Raw genomic sequence first — 25,729 nt, 5'->3', positions numbered from 1 at the left:
TGCAACATTTTGTTTTGAACATCAAGCACTGTACCAAAATATGAGCCATTCATCTTAAGACAACTGTATTTACCATAATGAAGAGTACTACACTAGTGTTTACAATTAATTGCTGACAACTTAAAAAACTGATCAGTGACATTGCTGTCTAATAATCAAATGCTTCATCACAGGCTGAATGTAATTATTATTATTATTATTATTTTGAGACGGAGTCTTGCTCTGTCGCCCAGGCTGGAGTGCAGTGGCACCATCTCGGCTCACTGCAAGCTCCACCTCCCGGGTTCATGCCATTCTCCTGCCTCAGCCTCCCGAGTAGCTAGGACCACAGGCGCCCGCCACCACGCCCAGCTAATTTCTTGTATTTTTAGTAGAGATGGGGTTTCACCTTGTTAGCCAGGATGGTCTCCATCTCCTGACCTCGTGATCCACCCCCCTCGGCCTCCCAAAGTGCTGGGATTATAGGCGTGAGCCACCGCGCCCGGCCCTCAATGTAATTATATAAAGAGAAAAGTTCCTCCTCCCTTTCTTACCTTCAAACCAAACAAAAAAAAGTAGTTCTCACGTGGAAAGAGCACTTACTTTAAGAAAAAATGTAATTTTTAGCTAGTTTTATTAAACCAAGAATGCTCTATAACATGGGAAAACAAGGCTTCCCAGCGTAAATATCATGATACATGAAAAAATAAAATTCCCTGGAACAGCATGTTTTCACCAACTTGCAGAAAGAGAAAGAGCTTACTGCTTCGTAACCAAGTCAGCTCTGTTTCCCTTGGGAGCTTTTAACAGAGGCTGGGGCTCATGCAGGTTTGGGGTTTCAATGAATTATCTGAGTGGTTCAGAAACCTCCAGTGAGACATTAATGTTGAAGAAGCAAAATAAACAAAAACAAATTCTCTGGAAAATACCTCCTTATCCCAGGATGGGAGAATTTCCACAGAAAACCTCACATGTGAGATGAACTCACATTCCAAAATTATAAAACATCTAAGGAAACAATGCAACAAGAGCAGTGGACAGTAGACAAATGACAAGATCAGACCTCACAGGAATTCAGAAAATTGGATGAAGAATATAAAGTAAGTGTCTCAAATGATTAAAGATATAAAAGAAGGAATTAAAAATGTGAGAAAAAAAGATGCTATGAAGAAGGCCAGGCAGACAGATTTGAAAAATAATCAAATAGAACTTCTACAAATAACCACTGAAATTTAAATCATGATGAATGGGTAAAAAACACATTAGTCAAAGATGAAGAAAATAGGAAAATAGATGTGAAAAAGTTATCTAGCATGCAGCACAGAGAGAGAAAAATGTGGAAAACCTGATGAACGAAACAAAACAAAGCTGAGAGACATAAGGTAAGGACAGAATAAAAGGCCTAACAAAGATTTAATAGAATTCTAGAAGGAAAGATTAGTGAGAATTGCAGATATGTAATATTCAAAGAGAGAATGAAAACTTTCCAAAAATGGATTAAAGAAGAACCTTTAAACTCAACAATCTTCAGGTTTAAAAAGACAAATCACCCTCAAAAAAATTAGTAACTTATTTGAGAAGATAGAGAATAAGAACTGGAAAATCACTATTTGGCAACCACTATAACAACTGATTCAGGCAAGAATCACCAATGGATGCTAAAATTCTAGTGGGTGAAACTTTGAGGAGTAACAGGATATTCACATAGTCTCAAAGTAGTACCCCACAAGACACATAATAAAAGGAAAAGTAGTAACTTGGCATGACATTGGAGAAACTCCCAGAAACCTGTGATCCAAGTTATCATCACCAGTAATAGGACAAATTGACATCATGTGTTCTCCAATATGATACATTGAGAACACATTACTTATATGACACTCCTGTCAAAATGCATAATTTGAATCTCATCATGCAAAAGCATCAGACAAACCCAAATCAAAGGATATCTTACAAAATAACTTACAAAATAATAAACCCAAATCAAAGGACGTCTTACAGAAATACATGTGCTCTTCAAAAATGTCAATTTCAGGTAAGAAAAAGAAAGACTGAGAAATTGTTCTAGACTTAAAAAGGAGGCTAAAGAGACATGAATGCAATGCATGGTCTTGGATTTTCTTTTGTTCTAATGGACATTATTAGGATAACTGATGAAATCGAAATAAGATCTACAGATTAAATAATAATATTGCACCAATGTTTATGTCTTGACGATTTCAATCACTTTATTGTGATTTTGTATAAGAAGTATTTAGAGATAAAGGTGCATTATATCTGCAACTTCCAAAAAATTCAGGGGAAAAAATACACATACACATGTACCCAGAGAAAAAGGAATAAAGCAACTGTGATAAAAGATAAACAGCTGAAGAATCTGGGTGAAGAGTACACAGAAACATTTAAGAAATCTGGGTAAAGAGTGTACTATTTTTAGAAATTTAATTCTGAAATATGTCAACGTAAAAAGTTAAAATTTAGAAAATATAGTTTTTAGATCAATTTAAATAAACAAAATATAGATAGGTGGACAATAACCTACATGGCAAAGCAAAAAAAAAGCTAAAGCTTCCAAGGATAATGATAATAAAACTCAGAAATTGGAGATACTTGGTATCCTGGAAGAAGGGGCTCTGGAAACAGAAATAAGGAACAGTTGGTCTCAAGATCCCTTAAACTTAGCACTCACAGGCCAACCATCTCCCTGTTACCCCACCCCTCAACCTTGACAGGAGAAGGGAGGTTTATATTCTAGAAAAAATGATTGAGGGAGATTCCGGACTCAGAGACCCCAGGCACAGAAAGCAGGGTGAGGCACCATACTAAATATAACAGATTAAATAATAATCTGTAGGATGAAGGATGAGAACCCGACTCCTTCCTCTATTCGGCTCCCAAAATACCTGCAGCCCAGAATTATTATCCATCCTTTCCCCAACCCCCAAAACAGAAAGATTATTCTCTGATCAATGAGCCAGTCCAAGAGAAATAACCCATGGATGCCAATACTTAGGCAATCAGGTCCCCATCCTCTTAACCTAAGTGGAGCCCATTGCTTGACAAGCCTTATTCATGTATACAGAGCTTCCAATCAGCTTTCAGTGCTTCACTCTCAAATAAGAGCAGACTGCCAATAATCATCAGGTATTTGAAGAAAGCTTCCAATAAGAAAAATAGCAAACAAAAACTGAAAAAGGAATTCAAAGAAACCAAACAATAAAAGGAGCTGAAGAAAACTAAAAACTAAAAACCACAAATAATATCTTCAGAGAGAAAATACTCCAACTTTAAAACAAAATTAGGAAGTTATAAGATTAACTAGAAGTCCAGGAAAAAAACTCTCAGATTTTAAAAGTAAACAAAATATTAAAAATCAAAAGAAAGGTCAGAATACAAAACTGAGAAAATATCCAAAAAATTAGAAGAAGACCGAAAGATGGTAAGGTACGAAAAACAGCAATCAGTCTAGCACATTCGTCATCTATGTAACAGACGTCCCATAAAGAAAAGAGAAAACAGAAAAATAAAATAATCAAAGAAATAAAATACAAAAATTTCTCACAACTGAAGCACATGGATTTCCAGTTTAAAAGGGTCCAAATCAGTATCCAGCTAGCAGAAAACACCCACGTCAGGGCGTATCATCATAAAATTTTAGAACACAGAATTTGCCAGGAAGGAAAAAAAGGTTACAAAGGTCACACAAAAGGACCAGGAATAAGAATGACATCTCACTTTTTGAGATTAAAATGAAAAACTTAGAAGATAATGGAGCAATCCTTTCAAAATTCATAAGAAAACCCACCTCAACCAGAATTCTACACTAGCCCAATTATTAATCACAAGTGTAACAGAATAAAAAACTTTTTTTTTTTTTGAGACGGAGTCTTACTCTGTTGCCCAGGCTGGAGTGCAATGGTGCGAACTCGGCTCCCTGCAACCTCCGCCTCCTGGCTTCAAGTGATTCTCCCACCTCAGCCTCCCGAGTAGCTGGGGTTACAGGCACACACCATCATGCCCAGCTAATTTTTGTATTTTTGTAGAGATGGGGTTTCGCCATGTTGGCCAGGCTGGTCTTGAACTCCTGACCTCAGGTGATCCGCCCGCCTCGGCCTCCCACAGTGCTGGGATTACAGGTGTGAGCCACCGCGCCCAGCCAGAATAACTTTAGGACATGTAAGGTGACAGAAAATGTATCTCCCTTCATCCATTTCTTAAGAAGCTTTTGGAAAAAAACCAAAACAGAGAAAGATGTTACAATATGGAAATAAAAAATCCAACAGAGCAGAGACACAAAGGGAATTCAGAGTGTCACAGTGAACTGAGAATCAGGATGACCACTGCACAGGAGACCTGGAGAGCAATCACTGCAGACTGGAACCGAAGAGAGGGGCTACAGGAGAGATGACTCCAGAAAGAAACAAAAATCCTGGACTTCACTTGTGCTTGATCATTTTATTATTTTGTTTGGGAATCCAGGAAAATTAAATTAGTGATAGGAACATGGAAAACTGCGGGAAAAAACAACAGGCATTTATTAGCTCTCTGGAAAATAGAAAGCTGTACAAGAAAGAAAACAAAATCCTTGTTTACAACTTTGTTCAGTTGAAAACAACATTTATACAGCTCTAATAATGCATATAATAAATACCACTTTAATGAAAAATGATGACACAGTCATAACGGTAAGATGGAACAGGAGGAGTGTATAGGGGAAGTAGAAACAACAGGAGAAAAAGTGCTAACTTGAAGTAAAAAGAGGTTTCTGAGTAAGAAATTTAAAAACAGCATTAATGGGGAAATAGGAAGAAAGTATCAGAGAAAAGTTAGAGTTAAAAGCAGTTACTCCTTGAAAACAGGCCCTAATTTTCATTCTATGGTTTCTTTTACTTGAATTTTTAAGCCGCACTATTTTCTAAAACACAAAACCAAGAAATATAGCTGAGGGAAAAAAAAGGGAGAGCCAAAAGTCAAGAATCAACCTCTGGTTGAAGCAATGTGTAAAGTTTTCTAACCTGCAGCTGTAATGACCCATTTATTAGAAATTTACACTCAAATATTAATCAATTGGGAGACACATAAAAAATTAATCAATTGGGAGACACATTAATCAATTGGGAGACACAAAAGTCAAGAATCAACCTCTCATTGAAGCAGTGTGTAAAGTTTCCTAATCTGCAGCTGTAATGACCCATTTATTAGAAAATTATACTCAAATATTAATCAATTGGGAGACACATAAAAAGGACAGAATATTAGAAACGGAAACAAAATTCATTATCTTGAGGTTATAATACTTAATTATCACATTTCCCTGGTAAGTTCTATTATTGAATCATTTAAGCAGACCTCAAGGGAGAATTACAATGGCCCCTGAAAAAAGGGGAAAGGGAATTTGATGTGCTAATATAAGTGATAGTTGGTACATGAAAGATTACTTTGCCAAAACATTCAGTATGTTCTTAATTAATCTGCTGCCAGATCAAGCTCCCACGGACTCTGAAAAACTATTCTACTCACTGCCCTCCCACAAGCTGTGTGATGTAAGGAAGCAGTCAGGTTTTGATTCATGAAAGCTAGAGCCATAAAAGTGAACTCTAAGTAAGCAATGAAGGCAGGACTGCATCTAAGGAAACAATGTGTGTAGATTCATTCATCCAGCACCACCACTGGGGCTGCCACGCAGATGTGTGTTACACAGGCACATTAGTTTATCTCTGCTACAAAAGCTCTAGTATGCTCTTCTGATTGACAAGATCATCTTAGCAATATCCTCGAGTCCGTCTTTTCATATTCTTTATCTATCCTCCCCATCTGGATCTGGCTTGTGATTTTCATTTTCTTTACCATTTTCTATCTGACCATCAGAATTGGCCAAGTTCTTTGCTTGGGGCCCCAGATCAAGCTCTCTGTGTCTTTCTGCATCTCTCCATCTGCAGACCCAGTTCAGCTTTCCTTATTCCCTGGCTGCTGACATCCTGAGACTTTCTAGCTCACTTCCAAAGAAGTAAAAGGTACTACTCAAGGAAAGGTCTGGAATTTAGGGTAGCATACTGGATCACTTGTGCAAATGTGATCCTATAAATGTGATACCTATAAAAACAATAGACTTCAAAAAGCTTAAACTTACCTTAAATTCAAGCTAAAATTTCTAAATTCCATACATTTTTTTTTTTTAATCATATCTAGGCAGTAGGAGGAAGATGGAGAGAATAAGCCAAGAAGGCCTCCTGGGGGGCAGGGTAGGCTTTCAAATTCCAGAGAAACATTCCACAACTTACAGGGTGCTGAGTTGAGTTACACAGACTGTTAACCTGGTATCTTTTCAACTTAGAGTTCTGCTTCATACATCCGAGCTAGTGCTTCTTCAGCTTGCAGAGTGATTTATTGCTTGTTAGTGTTTATAGCTGAGTGATATTTTCAGCTGCTTGTACAACCACAACCTTTGTGAGTGAGGGCCACCGTCTGGACATCTAAGTATAGGCAGCCCTGAGTTTTTCATGTAGCTGAGACAGATTTAGTCTGAACCCAGCCTCTGGATGCCTCTAATCCAAGCCCCGCAGGGTTAAGAGGAGGAAATGGATGAGGAGAAAGGAAGAGCCTTCTCCAGGGAGTGAGTTAGGACACTCACAGTGAATGAAATCCCACATCAAAATATGGTCCCTGGACCAGCAGCATCAATATCCAACACTTGAGAACTTGCTAGAAATGCGAATTCTAGGTTCCTACCCCAGACCTACCCAATCTGAATCTCAGGGTGGAGTGGCAGCACTCTGTATTCTGATGCCTACTAAAGATTGAGAACCACTGCCCCATGGCACACTCTACCACATTTTGCCCACAGCTGTGATTTCTGATCCCCCTGGGTGATTCTTGCCAATCAAGTGCTCTTATGCAATACTCTCATCTGGCTGATCCCTTGCCCTTTCTATCTTCAAAAACTAGAGCTAGACTGAGGCTTAGAGGAAGTCCAGGGAAGTATCTAATCCTCATCTGAGGCTTTGATTGCAGTGAAGTTGCCACTCTGGCTAGATTTCATAGAAAAAGCTCTTGTTTTTCAACCTCATTCTTATTCTGGGTATAATAATTCATTTTAAGATGCTTCCCCATTTTTCTCATCAATTTTTGTCAATGGCCATAAGAACCCCTACTCTCTTCTCTTTCTGTTTTAAATCTGGTAAAGTAAATGCAGAAAGGAAAAAAATCTGGGGTATCTTTATTAGTGTTACCTATGATAGCAAACTTGGAAAAAAAACCATCTATCAAAAATGTAAATAAAATTATAACATTGATAAGATGCAGTATAATCTTTTAAATCACATCATAGAAAAATAACATGGGAAAACACTCCACTCTACATAATTTTCAGACTATATTACATTTAGTTTTTAAAAAGCTGTCACTGAGAGGACATAGCTTTGGTGACACATGAATTCACTGTTTGAAGCTCACTTGTCTCTGTCTCTGTCCTCCTACATATGTTCACATCTGGCAGAGAAACAGAAGTAAAATGAGGAGGGTGTCCAAGGAGAACCCTAGCTATAGAGGCTAGCCCCAGATGTGCGGATGAAGGTCTGCCAAGAGGCAAGACCAGAAATGACATAAAAGTTAGAAGTAATATAGGATATTTAGGGAGATGACAAAGCTTTGCTGATATTTGCAAAAAGGAGAGAAAAATAAAAGCATGAAGAGACTGAAAAGGCATAAAAATATAGGCAGCCTTAACATGAACAGCTAAGAAAATTAATATAAAAACATGCACACTTCCCCTAATAAAGAACCTTAACTTGGTGATAAATTCCTTTCAAAAAGAATTCCTTTCAAAACAAAAGGTCAATCTCTCCAGTTTAGACAGGTGTATTACTTTAACATTATTTCCAAGTTTTACTGTGTCAAACTTTTTCAGGTTCTGAGGGTGTGGTGCAACGTGGATAATGTCATCACCCTAGTTTTACAGATAAGAGTGACAAAGCATCTAGTGACATGAATACTCTGCAAGGCCACCTCTCACTGTCATAATCATCGACACACGTAGGCCTTTTTTTTTTTTTTTTTACATTAAACTAAGGCAGCTGCATCTAGCCAAAATATGACTCTGAACTCTCACCTCTCCTTCTCCAGTCTGAGCAAGCTCTGTGCATGGCTGGAGACCCTAAGAGTGTATCTCTGAAAACCCCAGACCACCCCTTGATTTACTGACCAAGATCCACACCTACTCCCACCTCGGAATGTCAGACATCATAAATTTGATGGAATCTAGAGAAGAGACTCCCCTGCAGGTTGGGCTCATAGTAATCTCATCTAGAGTAGGTTAAATATTTCTGAGGGAAGAGGAGAAGTAAACTATAAATAAACCATCGCTATTCAGGCCTCCCATCAGTTGCTTTCACTGAAGATGGAGAAATGTATAACCCACTGCTTTAAATCAGGGCTCTTGTCACCTGAGCTAGAAATGTGATAAATACCAAAGTATCCTAAAAAGGATTATTTAAGAAAGAGTTAAAAATATATAGAGAATATATTTTCCAGTTATATACCTTGATTTATGCTTTTTATGCTTATGTTACCTCTCAAATTGTTAAGAGTTTAGCACTTTGACCATTCTGTCCTGAATTAAAACATATCTATTTCAAAACTGCAAAATTTCATATTCTATTTTTCCTAGCCTACCTATATTCTTATAAAAAAGAACTAAATTCCAACCCTTTATTCTTATTAAACATCTCTTAGAGCTTTAGATAAAAGTATAGGATAAAGTCCCACTATTGCTGTACTTTCTGTCTGGGTCATGACCAGACAGAATTCTTTATGAATTCGCCTGCACCAGTATGAATTCTCCTGCAGAGGAACAGATGTAATATTTTTCATCTCAAGCTTGTACCATTTGCTTGGAACAGTAGTAACATTTCAGCCCAGAGGAGGCTCAAGGGCTCCCCTATAATTCCATAGGCAATTCAAGATAATCTGCACGTAGAAGACCTGAGTTATCACTTGTTCACACAACTTGCCAATTACTTGCCAACTTGCCAATGATCTTAGATAAGTCATTGGGTTAGTCTCATTACAACCACTTTACAGATGAGAAACAATCTACCACTTTCCCTACCTTTCCAGCAGGATGTGTCTTAGATGGCTCAACTCCTAGTCTGCCAATCTTCCTCCTTCCTTCCCTTTCTCCCTCTCTCCATCCCTCTTTCTTTCCTTTATATGTCAAGATCTTCCTGTCTGAATTAAGTTGTCCTAGGTATTATGAGAAGCACCAAGGTCAGAAATGACCTTAAGGTGCTTAAAACTTTACAGGAAATTCTACTTCTATACATGTTAAGTGATGGAAAAGAAACACAGATAACATGCTCTAAGAGTTACTTCCTGCTGAAGGGGTTGAGAAAACCTCCTGGAGAAAGTTTACCAGCCAGCTGCTGAAGCCTGTATAAATCTGCAGATGATGGGGAAGAAAGGTGTGCCAAGGAAAAGGCTAGCAGCCACAAAGGCACAGAGGATGAAAAGCAGGGGCACACAGAGGAAGGATTGAGTTGTGCTGCCAGAAATCTAGAACTCTTTGAAAGAGAACAGGAAAAAAAAAAAAGAAAAAGAAAAAAAAGAAAAAAAAAGAAAGGTAGATTGTGGAGGGCCTTGCTGTTAGACTGAGTTTGGACGCCAATACCATCCTCACCCATGACTCCTCATGCAACCAAATTCCCTATCTGGATAAACCGTACAGTATACCTCAGTCTTCTGAACTTCTCCCTCACTTACCAATTAGAACAGTCCATTTTTCCAGATACCACTCAAATGTGTCCTCTATTAATTTTCATCTGCATTTCTCAAACAGTCTACTGCCTCCAGTCTGGTCCCACTGCCATGCATCATCCATTCTCCACACTAAGATGAGACTGACCCAAAATGCAATCTTATCACATTACTCCCTTGTTTAAAAGGCTTCAGTGATCACTTGTTTCTCACAGATAACACTCCAATGCCTTATGTAAGATACACGGTGTTTTGTGATCTGGACCCTCTCCAGGCTTCATCCTCTGCCTCTCCCTCCCAAGCTTCCTTCACTGTTGCCACACTGAACTCTCTGAAGTTCCTTAAACTACCAAGCTCCCCTGTCCCTCTGTATCTTTGAATTTGTTGTTCCTTCTGGATGGAATTTTTCTTCCTTTCTCTGACTAGATAATACCTACCCTTTTCTTTTAACATTCAAATCATGATTTAACATTGTTCTGGAAGTACTAGCCAATGCAATTAGATAAAAGAAAAAATAAAAGTTTCAAATACTGGAAAAAGGAAGCAAAATTAGCATTTGTAGATATAATTGTATATCTAAAAATATAAGAGAATCAACTAAAAAAAGTAAACAACTGTAGAGGTCAGTAACAGAATAGTTGCAAAATTAATTTACAAAAGTCAAAATGTGTCTGTACACAAATGGTAACCAGTTAAGAACTATAAGATCAGAAAGTATTCTTTTATTAGAGTATAAGAAAAAATTTTAAATCTAAGAAATATTTACCAAGACTTGTAAAGGAATATATATATGTACACAAATATATATATATATATAAAATGTAAATTCTACCAGAAAGACAAATCTTTCTTCTAGATAGAAAGATCCATTGCAATGCAAGTTTCCCAAAGGCATGGCTCCTTCTCTGCCTTGTTCATTCAAAGTACCAAGCACCCTGCCTGGAACAAGGCAGGCATTCAATAAATACCAACTGAACAAATAAATGTCTAAAACAATCTAAAAGTGCAATGTGATAACAATAAAAATACAAATAGAATTATCTGAGAAAACTCGACAAAGATATCAGTCTTTCCCTTGAAAAATACACATGAAGATCATTTCTCACCTATGAGATGAGCAAAAGTTCAAGTACCCAGCATTGCTGAAGACATGGAGAACTAGAACACCCAAATGTTATTTGTGAAACTATACATTAATATAGTCTTTTGAAAGGGCAATTTGTTAATATCTATCAACATTTAAAATGTGTATTTTCTTCAAGCAATTTCTTAGTTGGAATTAATTCTGTAGATATGTCCACATATTTATGTGTAAACATATGAAAGTATGCCCCTTGTTACTGTTAGAAAGAAGAAAAAAAGGCCGGGCGCGGTGGCTCACACCTGTAATCCCAGCACTTTGGGAGGCCGAGGCAGGCGGATCACAAGATCAGGAGATGAGACCATCCTGGCTAACACAGTGAAACCCCGTCTCCACTAAAAACACAAAAAATTAGCCGGACGTGGTGGCGGGCGCCTGTAGTCCCAGCTACTCGGGAGGCTGAGGCAGGAGAATGGTGTGAACCCAGAAGGCGGAACTTGCAGTGAGCCGGCATTGCGCTACTGCACTCCAGCCTGGGCGACAGAGCGAGACTCCATCTCAAAAAAAAAAAAAAAAAAAAAAAGAAAGAAAGAAGAAAAAAAAAGAAAGCAGTCTAAATACCTATCAATAATAGACCTATTACATACGATATACCCAAACAATTGAATACTAATACAGCCATCCTAAAAAACTGAAGGAGACCTATATGGAATAAAACAAAAATAAGTCTATGATCTAGTGCTAAAATAAAAAAGGCAGAAAAACATGTTTAGTATAATCCCATATATGTTTTAAAACTACAAAATTATGCTTACATTCTGAGATGTTACCTTTGGTAATGGAGTCGGGGAGATAGAAGCAAACTTCACCTCAAGCAAAACAAAAAGATGTTTGCTGTTGTTTTTACCATACGCACATACTGACTTCCTCTCAGGCACTCCCTCTTCAGGAGGTGTCCCAGTGAGGAGAGATGCCTGTCCCCTTTGCATCCACAGCACTCAGTACACCACTCTACTCCACTACAGGACCTCTACATTCACAGCATTACTTGCTAGCTTCCCAAATCAGCGGAGAGCTTCTTTGAAGGCAGGAACTGTCTTCTTTTTTCTGTATTCTCAACACCTCTCAGAGTGCCTAAAACCCAGTAACCATTTCAAAAAGGCTGGATGAAAGAAGGAAGAAGGTGGGCAGGAAAGGAAAGAGAAAAGGATGGTCCTATATGAAGATTAACCAGGTAGCCATATACAGCACTATTTAGAAAAGGTAGAATCGGGGCCTGGCACAATGGCTCATGCCTGTAATCCCAGCACTTTGGGAGGACAAGGCAGGTGGATCACCTGAGGTCAGGCGTTCGAGACCAGCCTGGCCAACCCTGTCTCTACTAAAAATAAAAAAATTAGCTGGGCTTGGTGGCGGATGCCTGTAATCCCAGCTACTGGGGAGGCTGAGGCAGGAGAATCACTTGAACCTGGGAGGCGGAGGTTGCAGTGAGCCAAGATTGCGCCACTGCACTCAAGCCTGGGCAACAAGAGCGAAACTCCATCTCAAAAAAAAAAAAAAAAAGAAAAGGTAGAATCAGGAGACAAGGAGGGCTGAGAGGTCAGAAAGAGAGAGACAATTAGAATGAAGAATGGAGAACAGTCTAGTTCTCTTACAGGAATGCCTTGACGTCTGTGAGCTGGACAGCCAGGTTCACTTCAGAGCAGCTAGGAAGTAGTAATTTCCAGCTCCAAAACTTCAGGCATTTTCAGTGAGAAAGAAGCTGTGCCTAGAAGCCACTGCCACAGTTTCTACAAGGACACATGTGCCTTGTGATTCCTTCACACAAGGAGGAAGGCCCAAGAGCAGCTTCTGACTGCTCCATCTCTTTGCTGGAAGTAGCTAGAAGCCTCTGCCACAATCTTGAGCAAATGACTATAGCAATCCGTAATGCCTCTAGATCACTTCTGCTTATTATTTTCCTCACAGAGTGTTGGAAATATTAATTGAGGTAATACACGTAAAGCACTTAGCACAGTCCCTGGCAGAGTAAGCACTCAAAATACAAGCTATTATTATTACGTTGCTTACAGAAGTTTTTCAAAAGCTCTAAGCATTACAATTGCAAAAGTCACCGGGATGTCTTTGATTTCCAACAAGACCCATGCCTCCTTACTTATCTCTGCAATAAATAGACAGTCTTTCTAAGCACTTAAAACACACTGGAAGCTGCTGCTTCCGTATTTTTTACTTTTGTCAGTGTTTCAAAATTATGCTGCCCTTATCAGGCCCCAAGTATAAAAAGCACACTCTCATCTTAGAAAGCTAGAATTTAAATAACCTTTACAATTGTAGTACATTTTTCCTTCCACCCACCCTGACAGCTGGACCATGCCTCATGTGGCTAGCACTGGAATTCACTTACCACAGCAGGAGGGTCATTCCATTCTTCATAGGAGATGGCAGCATATGGATAGATCCGGTCATTGATAATCTGCAGGGTGGCCAGGGCAATGGCTTTAATTGACTGGAAGTACGCTTCCCAGAACCACCGGGCCTATAAAGAAAATAATGCTGTTTTAAGTGAGCAAGCGAGACAGAGTGGGAAAACTAGATACTCTATCATAGTCAACTCCAGGTTAGGCTAATTCCTTTATTCCCAAAGTTGTAGGGATGGGGGTGCCTAGGGCATATGCTCCCTGCTGTTCAAGCCAGCTGCCATCAGAAGTTGGCATTTATCAAATGCAGTCAAAATAAAATGTTAGCAAGTGAAATGCACATTGGATTCAATTAAGATAGAAGATAAATTATGTGATGATGAGAATAGCCATGTGTTATGGCAGAGTTTATAGTATTTTGTCTTATATAACATAAAGTGCACAAATCTTGTGTACAGCTCAATGAATTTATACATATGTACATACTCTTACAATTAGTATCCAGATAAAGATATAGAACATTCCAGCATTCCAAAAGATTCCCTCATGCTATTTCCCAGTCAGTATCTCATCCCTCTAAGAATAACCATTATGCTGATTACAATTGTGGTGTCTGCTCTTGAATTTCATATTAATGGAATCAAACAGTATTTACTCTTCTGTGTCTGATTTGTTTTGCTCAACACTTATAATATCTAAGTCAGGTTATGGTATCAAGGTTATGCTGGCCTTATAAAATGAGGTGGAAACCATTCTCTCTTTTTCTGTTCTTCGAGAACTTTTATGCAAGATCAGCGTTATTTCTTCCCTGAAAGGTTTTAGAGGAATTCCTCAAAGAAGCCATCTGGGCAAGGGTATGGGTGGGTGGATTGGTGTGTGTGTGTGTGTGTGTGTGTGTGTGTGTGTGTGTGTGTGTGTGAATGTGAACGTTTTAAATTATGGATGAATTTTCTTTCATAGCCATAGGATTATGCATGTTTTTCTGTGTGTATATCAGTTTCATAAACAGTGTTTTTCAAGGGATATGTTCATTCCAACTAATTGTTAAATTTATTGAAATAAAGCTGTGCATTCACATCCATTTAACACCTGTAGAATCTATTGTAATACATCTCTTTTCATTCCTGATACTGTTGTGTTTTCTCTTTGTACTTGATCAGTCTTAGTAGAGCTTTATCAATTTTGTTAATCTTTTTTTAAAAATCGACTTTTGATTTTGTTGATTTTCCACAACATAATTCTTTCTATTTTGCTAGTTTTTGTTCTGATTTTATTATTTCCTTCTATTTTGGAGGAGTTTAATTAATTTTGCTTTTAACTTCCTAAAATTAAAGTTTAGATCATGATTTCAACCTTTCTTTATTTTTAATATAGGCATTTAAAGTTATAAATTTCCCGCTATGTGCTATTTAAGTGCTTCCTGCACATTTACATATCATTTTCATCATCATTTAGGCAAACAATGTTCTAATTTCCTTTGTATATTGTTTAATTTCCAAATATTTTTATTTTTTCTATTTATCTTTCTGTTACTGATTTCTACTTTGACTGCACTTTGACTGCGCTGTGGTCAGAGAACGCATGTGATTTCAATACTTTGCAATTTATTTAAACTTGATTTATGGTCCAGCACATTGTTTATTTTTATAAATAATCTATGTACACTTAAAAAATGTATATTCTGCAGTTGATGGGTATAATTTTGTTTAAATATTCTATATCCTTATTGGTTTTTGTCTGCCTGCATGTGTGCCTATGGATTGTGTGGGGTGTGTGTGTATATTTATATACATATATATGTAAGTATTTCAAGTTTATAAATATACATTTCAAATTTGTACCCTCAAAGCTTGTCTATTGCGAAAAGCATATACAGGTTGAGCATCCTAAATCCAAAAAATCAAAGCTAAAATGCTCCAAAATCCAAAACTTTTTGAGTGCTGACATGATGCTCAAAGGAAATACTCATTGGAGCATTTCAGATTCCCTAAAATCTAAAAAAAAATCTGAAATCTGAAATACTTCTGCTCCCAAGCATTTTGGATAAGGGATAATCAATCTGTTACTGGGTTTTAATATATTATCTCATCCAAAAATATTTGGTTCCTAATTACAAATATAGTCGATTTATACTTAATTTACATTACTGATAAGGCTGAGTAAATGTATGATTATTCTATTTGTTTCCTATTTATCTCTTCTTTGTTACTTTAGTTTTTTCTCACCTTTAGAATTGATCAAAAAATTTTTATTATTATTCCACATTTTTGTTCTTCGTTAGGTTGCTAGTTATTTAGTCTTTTGTTATTGTTTGAGTAGCTTTCCTAGCAACTACAGTAAACATCATTGCTTTATTATATTACGTCTCAAACTAACGATTTTATAATTTATCAGCTCTCTCCTATCTGCTGTGCTATTATTGTCAAATATTTTTCATCTACATATTTTAAATCCCACAAGACATGTTTTATATTTATTTATTTTTATTATTTATTTATTTATTTATTTTTGAGACAGAGTCTCACTCTGTCACCCAGGCTGGAGTGCAGTGGCGCGATCTCAGCTCACTGCAACCTCCACCTCCCAGGTTCAAACGATTCTCCTGCCTCAGCCTCCTGAGTAGCTGGGATTACAGGCACGCACCACCACGCCTGGCTAATTTTTGTATTTTTAGTAGAGATGGGGTTTCACCATGTTGGTCAGACTGGTCTCAAACTCCTGATCTTGTGATCCGCCTGCCTTGACCTCCCAAAGTGCTGGGATTACAAGCAAGAGCCACCGCGTCTGGGGACATCATTATTTTTTAAAGTAAATTTTCACCGTATATTTACCCTTTCTTTTCTTAATGCATATCTGAACTTCCATCACATATCATCTTCCTGCTAATTGAAGAATTTATTTTGTTATTTATTTCACTGTAGAATTCGTGGGTGACTCTTTTATTTGTTTGAAAGCTTCTTTTTACCCAAATAATTTTTGAAGGATACTTTTGATAGGTAGAGAATTCTAGGTTAGCAATTTTCTTTCAGAACATTCAAGATATACTTCTACTGTGTTCTGGCTTCATCCAATTTTTCATTAATAAATCAGCTGACAATCTTACTGGTGCACCTTTGAAGACAATATGCTTTTTATTTCTGACTGCATTTAAGCTTTCTCTGTCTTTGGCTTACAGTAATTCAACTATGACATGCCTAGGTGTGGCCCTTTGTATTTATCCCACTGAGGATTGTAGCGCTTCTTCAATTTGTGGTTTGATGCTTTCCACTGATTTTAGAAAACTTTCGGACAATATTTCTTAAATATTATTTCTGTTGCACTCTCCTCTTCTGAGACTCCAAATATAAATATATGTGAAATATATTTCATAATGTTTTCAATATATCTCATGTATCTCTTATTCTCTTTTCAGTATTTTTTCTCTCTGTGCTTCAATCTGGGTGTTTTCTACTAACTTTTCTTCTGGTTCAATAATCTTCTAGCCCTTTTTCTTTGGTGTTTAAACTGCTATTAAACCCATGTATTAAATTCTTAATTTCATTCCTATATTTTTCAGTTCCAGAATTTCCATTTGATCTTGTCAAAAGTAGATTTCATATCTTTGTTGAAACTGGAAACCATCATTCTCAGTAAACTATCGCAAGAAAAAAAAACCAAACACCGCATATTCTCACTCATAGGTGGGAATTGAACTACGAGAACACTTGGACTAAGGAAGGGGAACATCACACTCTGGGGACTGTTGTGGGGTCGGGGGAGTGGGGAGGGGGGAGGGATAGCATTGGGAGATATACCTAATGCTAGAGGACGAGTTAGTGGGTGCAGCGCACCAGCATGGCACACGTATACATATGTAACTAACCTGCACACTGTGCACATGTACCCTAAAACTTAAAGTATAATAATAATAAAAAAAAGAAAGTCTCCTTCTTTTCTTCTACTTTCTTGAACATAATCAGTTTTTGACTGATAAACTCCAATATCTGAGTCACCTGTAGATATCTTTCTACTGTCGTTTTTCTCTTCATTTTGGTCATTTGGTCTCAATTTTAGCACACTTCTTAATTTTTTATTGGATGGCAGACATTCTGTTTAAAACCTGTAGAGGTTCTGGATGATTCAGATTATCTTCCTCCTAAGACTGTAACTTATTCTTTTGGCAGGTGTAAGAGTACAGTCAGGCCACTTTAATCCTGTCAGAGGTCCTGTCAGAGCCCTATGTCAGGGCTAGCTTATTTCAGCTTTCCCTTATGCTTAAAGTGTGGTCTTTCTGAGGCCTCCAATTAAAGCCTGGGTTATTTGTATTTGCCAGGGCCCCTCTACCTTGGCAGGCCTTGAATACCAACCTCTCACCAGCACTGTATATGGCTGCTGAAATATCTGCATTGCTCACTACATTCCCAACTGCTGCTTTTTACTAGGATTCTTGGAGTCTTGCTCTGATCATGTGTACCTTAGGAGTTGGCAAACACTCTAAGGGAAGATTACGAGCACATTTTTCACTTTCTTCCTTGTGGTTTTCTTTCTCCTGGGATTTTGTGTTTCAGATCCCAAATACTTTAATAGGCCCTAACTCCAACCTCTAAGTCCTGTAGGACTGCTGCTTTCTGCTGGGACCCCATACTCTTGGATAGAGAATTGGCAAGTACCGTCAGAGAAGATGCCAGAGTGACTATGTAGCTCAATTCCAAGTGCTTTCTTCCTCTCAGGAATGGTATTCCCTCAAATACTGTGTTAGTGGTTCTACAATGCCTGTAAGCAGTTGTTTTAAATAAACTTTTATAATTTTTTCTTCTTTTGGCAGGAGGGTTGCTCCAGTATCAGCTATTCTTTCCTGGTCCAATATAGTCTTTTGAAAGAAGGCAGTTTCTTATCCGAGCAGAAGTTAAACTCAGTTCCTAACAAAAGCAGGATGCTAGTCTATATGATCTCTCCAGCTTCATTCAGATCTATGATTCCACTCAAAACCAGAGGCTATTTGGATTTATGCAAGGGAGTGAACATGTGAAAATTTAACATGGGGAAATTGTAAAGTAACCCAAAAGGGTGAAGGAAAAAGATACTTTCTAGTCTAGATGTGCTTACTCTGCTTCTGTTTCCTGGGCAAGTGTTCTATCCATGAGTTAAAAGCCTAGGGTAACTTGAGTTATGTAACTAATATCATCTCCACTAACTAATAAGAAGAAAGCAAAGCATGCACAATGAGAATGTCTCCTACTCAAAGAAAAGCTGAAATACAGATTTAGCTTTCAAGGGTATCTGACTTTCTCAAGTTGTCCAGAAGTTGGTCATCTGGGTACACAGCTGGCTGCCTCCCTGCTACTGCTTCTTAGATATGCCCTATTCACTACAATCTCAATCCTGCTTAAATTCATGTTACTGCTTTCTCTCCTATCATCCAGCCAAAATGTTTACATTTTATGAGACCTGAAATAACCCATCTTCCCTATGAAACCTTTACTGATCACTTTCTGTTATCACCAATCTCCCCTTACTATGAAATCCCTTAGCCCTTACAGCCTTTGCCATACACATTAGTTGTTATATACTGTTCTATAATTGTTTTTCTGTTGTTTCAGAGGATTACTTTTTTCTCTCCAGCTAGACTGTGAGTTCCTTGGAAATAGATACTGGTATTTTAAAAATCAGCATCCTTGCAAATGTTAGTGTTCTACCTGCTGCAGAGCACTTTTATATTCATTATTTCATCTGCTCTTCACAACCAGCTTGTCACTTATTTGGGACAGTTTCATTTTATAAATGAGGAAACTAAGATACAAAGATATTAAGGAGCAGAATCACAATCCAAATCCATGACTCCTAACTAAATTCAGACCTTTTTTCTACCCCATTCCAGAGCATTAAGAGCACCAGCACATAGCAAGTTTTAGAAAATCACCCTTTTTCAAGAAACTGAAAGGTGTAAAAATTTACAAAGCATCAGGCCAAACATAAACACATATATATCCTGAATATTTATCTCCTTTTCTACCCAACTGGGTCTATCATCATATATTCTTTTAAGTCATATTCAAATTAAACCACATTCCAACTTAAGCATTCCAAAGCCTTATGCTCACATATAATCACAGTGGAGACGGCAGCTTTTGGGATTTATAGAAAACAATAATTGGTAAGAAATCCACCCAGGACACCAGCCAAAGGCACAAATGCACAACTGAACTTCTAATTTAAGATGTCTCAAATCATCTCACCCTGTCCACCAAATTGCAATTCACTCAGAAAGGAAGCAAGTTTTGCCAATAATCATAGCTCAAGTGCCTCAGCCTGGGGATAAGTGAACTTCTCAGGCTTAATTGTTTCTGCAGGTCTTCTGTAATACCTTGAAATGTTCAGAAGGTATTATAATTTATAGCCCCTCCAGGGCTTAGTATAGCCTGCTTGTCCACAGAGAGGAAGGAGTCTTCAGCTACGCTGGCAATGTACGAAAGCACCACTATTCTCATCCAGAGAGCAAATGCAAATAAGTGCTTATTATGGCTTTTTCTCCCCTAAAACATGGTCCACATTTATATCTATCTTAAAAGTGTGGGCCGGGCGCGGTGGCTCACGCCTGTAATCCCAGCACTTTGGGAGGCCGAGGCGGGCGGATCACGAGGTCAGGAGATCGAGACCATCCCGGCTAAAACGGTGAAACCCCGTCTCTACTAAAAATACAAAAAATTAGCCGGGCGTGGTGGCGGGCGCCTGTAGTCCCAGCTACTTGGGAGGCTGAGGCAGGAGAATGGCGTGAACCCGGGAGGCGGAGCTTGCAGTGAGCCGAGATCCCGCCACTGCACTCCAGCCTGGGCGACAGAGCGAGACTCCGTCTCAAAAAAAAAAAAAAAAAAAAGTGTGAATGAGAGATTCTTCAGCAGCTATGCAAATTCCCCAGTCACTCTAAACTGTGGAAGGTACACAGTTGAAGAGTTAGGTTACAGGTGAATAGGTCACACCAATATAACCTTGAACAAAGCATTTAAACTTTCTTGGTTAATCAGATTCCACAGTGATTTTGTTTATAAAACACACAGATTTCACAGCATAAGAACTATATAATTCCTAGGATATTTTCAAACATGAGAATTATAAAGCTTCTCTAGGGCAGGGACTGGGCCAGCTTAAAACCATCATGGGCAAAATGGAACTCCAAATTGAAACTGCTATCTCAGTTTATACATAAATTAAATGTGATTAATTTCTTAATTTTCAGTAATGCAAAGGCAATGGGATTAGCAATAATAAGTATTTAAGAGAAGCCAGTGTGGCATAGTGGAAAGAACAACAGTTATAGAGCATCTTGAGCAATTTTAAGTTACTTAACCTCTCAGTTTTTTGAAATAAGAGAAAACAGCCCACTGACATAAAATAAAGCTGTCAACAGAACCTAACTCAAAGATGACCAAGATGAAGGAACTATTAGACAAGGACTTTAACTATAATTAATATATTAAAGGATCTAGTGAAAAAGGTGGACAACTCGCAGGAACATATGGGAATTTTTGGTAGAAAGATGGATAATATAAAAAACAGTCAAATAAAAATGCTAGAAGTGAAAAACCAGTATTATAGATGAAGAATTCCTTTGACAGTCTTAGCACACTAGACAGAGCCAAGAAAAGAAAGAGAGAGCTTGAAGACAGAACAATAGAAATTATCCAAACTGAAACACAAAAAGAAAAAAGAGTGGGAGGGAAAAATCTAAAACAGAGTACTCTAGAACTGTAGGACGATATCAAACACTCTAATATAGTGTAACTATAGTCTCAGAAGAGGAGAGAGGGGGAAGTGGAGAACAAGGCAGCAGATGTATTTAAAGGAAAAAGAGCTAAGAATTTTCCAAAATTAATGAGAAAACAGCAAAACACAGACCCCAAAACCCAAGAGAACCAAGACAGATTAAATAAAGCATTCACTTGCTCCCTCAAGAAGTTTAAGAAACAGCTGCACTGTTAAAAAGGCAAATCTTCTCCCTCTTAGCAAATGAGGAGATTCAAGAGATCCGAGCTACAGGAAACTTACTCTTAACACACTAACATTGACAGAACCATTTATTTCAGGTGAACAGCTGGAAAATATTTCCATGCATCACGGATTTATTTTTCAAAGCTGTGTCTGAAGATAAGCCTGAAAACTTCCAAAGAGATTCTAAGCCTTTCCAAATACATATGCCAAAGGCTAATTATTCCTTTTCATTTGTTGGCTTTAACAAAATAGTAGCAACGAGCATTCCCAACTTTCCAAAGCCCTGTGTCCAACAGGCTCTTTGGTGCTCACTGGTCCTTTTGACAGCACAAGAGCAGGGAGTCTGGTGTCCTTCTTGGACAACCTCATAACAGTCTGAAGGTCCCAGAGATAGGCTCTAATAATCTTCATCTGACAGCTCAAAAAGCTCAATAATAAGGCCAAATTATAACCCAAGCATCCTTACTTTTAGTTTAGAATTACTGTAAGCAAGATTTTTTTGTTTATTCTTTTACATACTCCATTTTCATAAATATAAGAGTTACCTGACAACTAACTTAAAATTCGAGGGAAAAAAATATCAGCAAAACCCTTTAAAGGCACTTCTTGTGGACTGGAGGTTTTTGAAGACATTTACTATGCCCATGTTACCAGTTTCTCCAGAAGAGCAGAGGAAGTTCACAAATATCTGATATCCCTTTAACTTGGGGATCCAACAAACAGCAATTAATAGAACTTACTTTCTTTAACATAAAAAGGGATTTTGAAGCAAAAAGGTTAATATACCTGGGATTTATCCACATACTAATCATTTTCTTTACTTAAAATATTTATTTTGTTAATTTAGTTGTATGTAAAACACCTTGCCGCATAAAACATGAGACGGCTTTTTTTCACTTCCTTATTCATGAAGCTGTTTTATTTGCCTTCTCCACATGCAACTCCTGGAAACATGTTTCTATTAATCCAGTACATTTTCCCAGCCCCACCATCTTCACCTATCAGTTACATAAAGACAGTAATTTAGGAACCCACCCATATGGCACTTGCTGAAAGTTTATAGAAAGCCACACACAATGGTTCACCTAACTGCAGCAGAATTCATTTTATAAGTTTTTGGTAGGTTTCAGTATTTGTCTATTGCTTTGCTATGCAAAGTGGTAACTGCTTTTTTTTTTTTTTTTTTTTTGAGATGGAGTCTCACCCTGTCCCCCAGGCTGGAGGGCAGTGGTGCGATCTCGGCTCACTGCAACCTCAGCCTACTGGGTTCAAGCGATTCTCCTACCTCAGCCTCCCGAGTAGCTGGGATTACAGACGTCTGCCACCATGCCTGGCTAATTTTTGTATTTTTAGTAGAGATGCAGTTTTGCCATGTTGGTCAGGCTGGTCTTGAACACCTGACCTCAGGTGACCTGCCTGCCTCGGCCCCCCAAAGTCCTGGGATTACAGGCATGAGCCACTGAGCCCAGCTGGTAATTGCTTTTATAACTTTTTATTTTGTAATACTTTTAGACTTAGTGAACAGTTGCAATAGTAGCCAGAGAGTTCTCAAATATCTGGAATGCCCCTCATCCAGCTTCTCCTAATGTTAACATCTTACATCACCATGGTACAATTATCAAAACCAAGAGGTTAACATTGGTACAATTCTATTAACTAAACAACATACTTTTTTTCTTCTCCAGATTCCCAGTTTTCTCCTAAAGTCCTTTTTCTGTTCCAGGATCTAATCCAGGACACCATAGTGCATTTACTTGTCATGTCAGCTCAGTCTCCTCTAATCAGGGACAGTTTCTCAGTCTTTCCTTGTCTTTCATGACATTGACATAGTTGACAGTACTGGTCAGGACTTTCATATAGAATGTCCCTCAATTTGGGTTTATCCGATGTTTTCTACTTATTAGATTGAGGTTATAGATTTTGGAGAATACTACAGAGATGATGTACCCTTCCCTTCACACTCCATCAGGGGACATATGCTACCAATATGACTTATTAAAAGTAACGTTAACCTTGCTCACATAGTTAAGGTGAGGTCTGCCAGGTTTTCCCACTGCTAAATTACTACTGTTCCCATCCCATAGTCTATGCTCCCTAGAAGCAAGTCACTATGTTCAGTCCATACTGAAAGGGAGAGTAATGAAGCTTCACCTCCTGGAGGAAGAAGTATCAAAGAATTTAGCACACTATTTTTAATGTACTTTGAAAGGATTAAAAACTATGAAATTGTATTCACTGAATATTACTTTTTTTTTTTTAAGAGCCAGGGTCTTGCTCCATTGCCCAGACTGGAGTATAGTAGCTATTCACAGGCACGATCATTGCACACTACAGCTTCAAACTCCCAGGCTCAGGTGAACCTCCTGTCTTGGCCTCCTGAGCAGCTGTGGCTAGAGGTGCATGCCATTGATCCTGGCTTACAATTTTTTAACATACATAAAGTATGGCATTCTGTCAAAATCTTTAAACTTATGGGGATTTGTGGCTGGAGAAAAATATTTAAATGTTTTCTTTCCTCAGTAATAAGTTCACAGCAATAAAAAATCTGACATTTGCCTTAAATGTTAAGTTGAAGCCTGCTAACATATCTCACCTATTTAAAAGTATATAGCCACTTTTTATATTTAAAATCTTAGAGATGAAATCTACTGAGACTTCAGATATTTCCAAAATTCCAACTGCTTCTAGTCCCACACTTTAATTTTATTTTGATGTATATGCCAAATTATCATACAAAAATAAAGTAAGCATCCAACTTAATGTGGAAAATGAAACAAATCCAAGAAGATCAGTAGAAGTAATTAATGAATAAGAAAACAGAAAAAGGATACAAATGTGAAAATAAATCCAAGAGCTTTCCATAGATTGGCTAAGAAGGAAACCCTAAAGAATCAGCTAAAAACCTATCAGAACTAATAAGCAAGTTCAGTAAATTAGCCAGCTACAAAATAATTTGTTAAGTAAATAACTAAAACAAATACCCAGACCCTTATATCCCAGCAATACCCCATGAGAGTTTACACACACACAATCAGTAGCAGAGCTCTTCCCATTACCCCAGCTTCTCACAGTCCAGATTATTCTTCATCCAAAATCCATTCAATATCCTTCAAAATCCGTTGCACTTAACATATCTAAACTTCTCACCCACTATTTTCACCATGCTTCTGCTAGTCTAGGCAAGTCACTTTCTCCACTGGCCCACAAACACATGATCATTACTTTGTTCATGGTATTCCCTTTTTCTGGAATGCCATCTTCATGTTCTTCCATCTACTAAAATCCTGTCTGGGGGTTTCTGGTTTCCAGTATGGCACTTAATAAGCTTAGAAGTCACCATTCTGTCCTAACACAAGTAAAAGGCTGAAATGAAATCAACACCTTTTCTCCAATTTATCAAGCAAATGAGGTCACATCACAAACAGCTGCCTTGGAAACTGAACAGATGGGCAGGTGAATAGAGAGAATCACAACTTACTGGAGCACAAACCTCTCCAGGAACCAGTGCCAGGGTAGGAAAACCTTAACTGTAATTGACAAATTGCTGGAGGCTCAGTGTGGACAAGTCTGAGAGTTTAAAAACTCCAGGGAAACCCAGTCAGGGAGAGAGATGGGGGCATCCCCACACTTCCAGAGTTTTACCACCAGAATTTGTTCAACCAGGTTCTCACAGAGAATACTAGAGAACAACCCCTTGGTGCTTCTAGAAAGGGGAAGGGAAAGTAACCATTCTGAAATATACCAGAGCATTTTGTTCTTAACAAGATTTGCCCTGAGGAGAAACTATTTTACAAGAGCCTAACCTGTTAGGGTTTTATCAGAGCCTATCCTATTTGCAAGAAAGGAAATAACCAACTCCAGCTGGCTCTAACCTTCCACATAAAAGTGAGGAAATACCCAACTCTAGTCCCCTGTAGCCATCCTGTCCCACCTAAGCAAGGTTGGGGAAAAACTGAGAAGCATTTGTGAAGTTCACAGTCCAGTCCTTCCCCCCACACAATACCACCATACCATTGAAGGCCTATTTCCCAGAGTTCCTTTCACCCAGTACTTCAACAAAAAATTACAAGGCATATTGAAAAGCAAAAACACAGTTTGAAGAGACTGAGTAAGCATCAAACCAGAATGAGACATGGCAGAGATGCTGAAATTACCAGACCAGAAATTTAAAACAATTATGATTAATATGCTAAAGGTTCTAATGGAAAAGGCAGACAACATGCAAGAACAGATGAATAATGTAAACAGAGAGATGAAAATTCTAAGAAAGAATAAAAAAGAAATGATAGAGATCAAACACACTGTAATGAAAATGAAGATGGGCTAATTATTAAACTGGATATAACTGAGGAAATAATCTCTGAACTTGAGGATATTTTAACAGTAACTTCCAAACCTGAAAAGCACAGAAAAAAAAAGACTGAAGAAAACAAAACAGGATCTCCAACAACTGTAGAACAACTACAAAAGATATAAATACATGTAATGAAAATACCAGAAGAGAAGAAACAGAGAAAAGAACAGAAGCAATATCTGA

At 37.9% G+C, this 25,729-nt stretch overlaps 1 protein-coding gene across 9 annotated transcripts in view, besides 1 other annotated feature; it reads right to left on the bottom strand.

Annotated features, from left to right (window-relative positions):
- EXT2 (exostosin glycosyltransferase 2) overlaps nucleotides 1–25,729 on the bottom strand; it is a 156,285-nt gene that overhangs the window by 67,006 nt on the left and 63,550 nt on the right. For 8 of the 9 annotated variants that reach the window (XM_047426529.1, NM_001389630.1, NM_207122.2 and 5 more), the window contains one exon: nucleotides 13,215–13,346. In XM_047426529.1, coding sequence (XP_047282485.1) covers nucleotides 13,215–13,346 — 132 coding nt within the window. The remainder of the gene's footprint in view (nucleotides 1–13,214; nucleotides 13,347–25,729) is intronic. The other variant, NM_001178083.3, reaches the window with a different exon arrangement.
- Nucleotides 6,292–6,792: an enhancer, noted in NCBI's record as "H3K4me1 hESC enhancer chr11:44199715-44200215 (GRCh37/hg19 assembly coordinates)". NCBI's record gives its function as "activates a minimal SCP1, AML or CMV promoter by ChIP-STARR-seq in naive H9 embryonic stem cells {active_cell/tissue: H9 hESC(naive)}" and the evidence as "EXISTENCE:reporter gene assay evidence [ECO:0000049][PMID:30033119]".

The sequence above is a fragment of the Homo sapiens genome, chromosome 11 (genome assembly GCF_000001405.40).
Source record: "Homo sapiens chromosome 11, GRCh38.p14 Primary Assembly".
In the NCBI taxonomy this organism is placed as follows: domain Eukaryota; kingdom Metazoa; phylum Chordata; class Mammalia; order Primates; family Hominidae; genus Homo; species Homo sapiens.
Note: the sequence above shows the minus strand (reverse complement) of the source record. Positions and strands in the feature narration are given on the sequence as shown.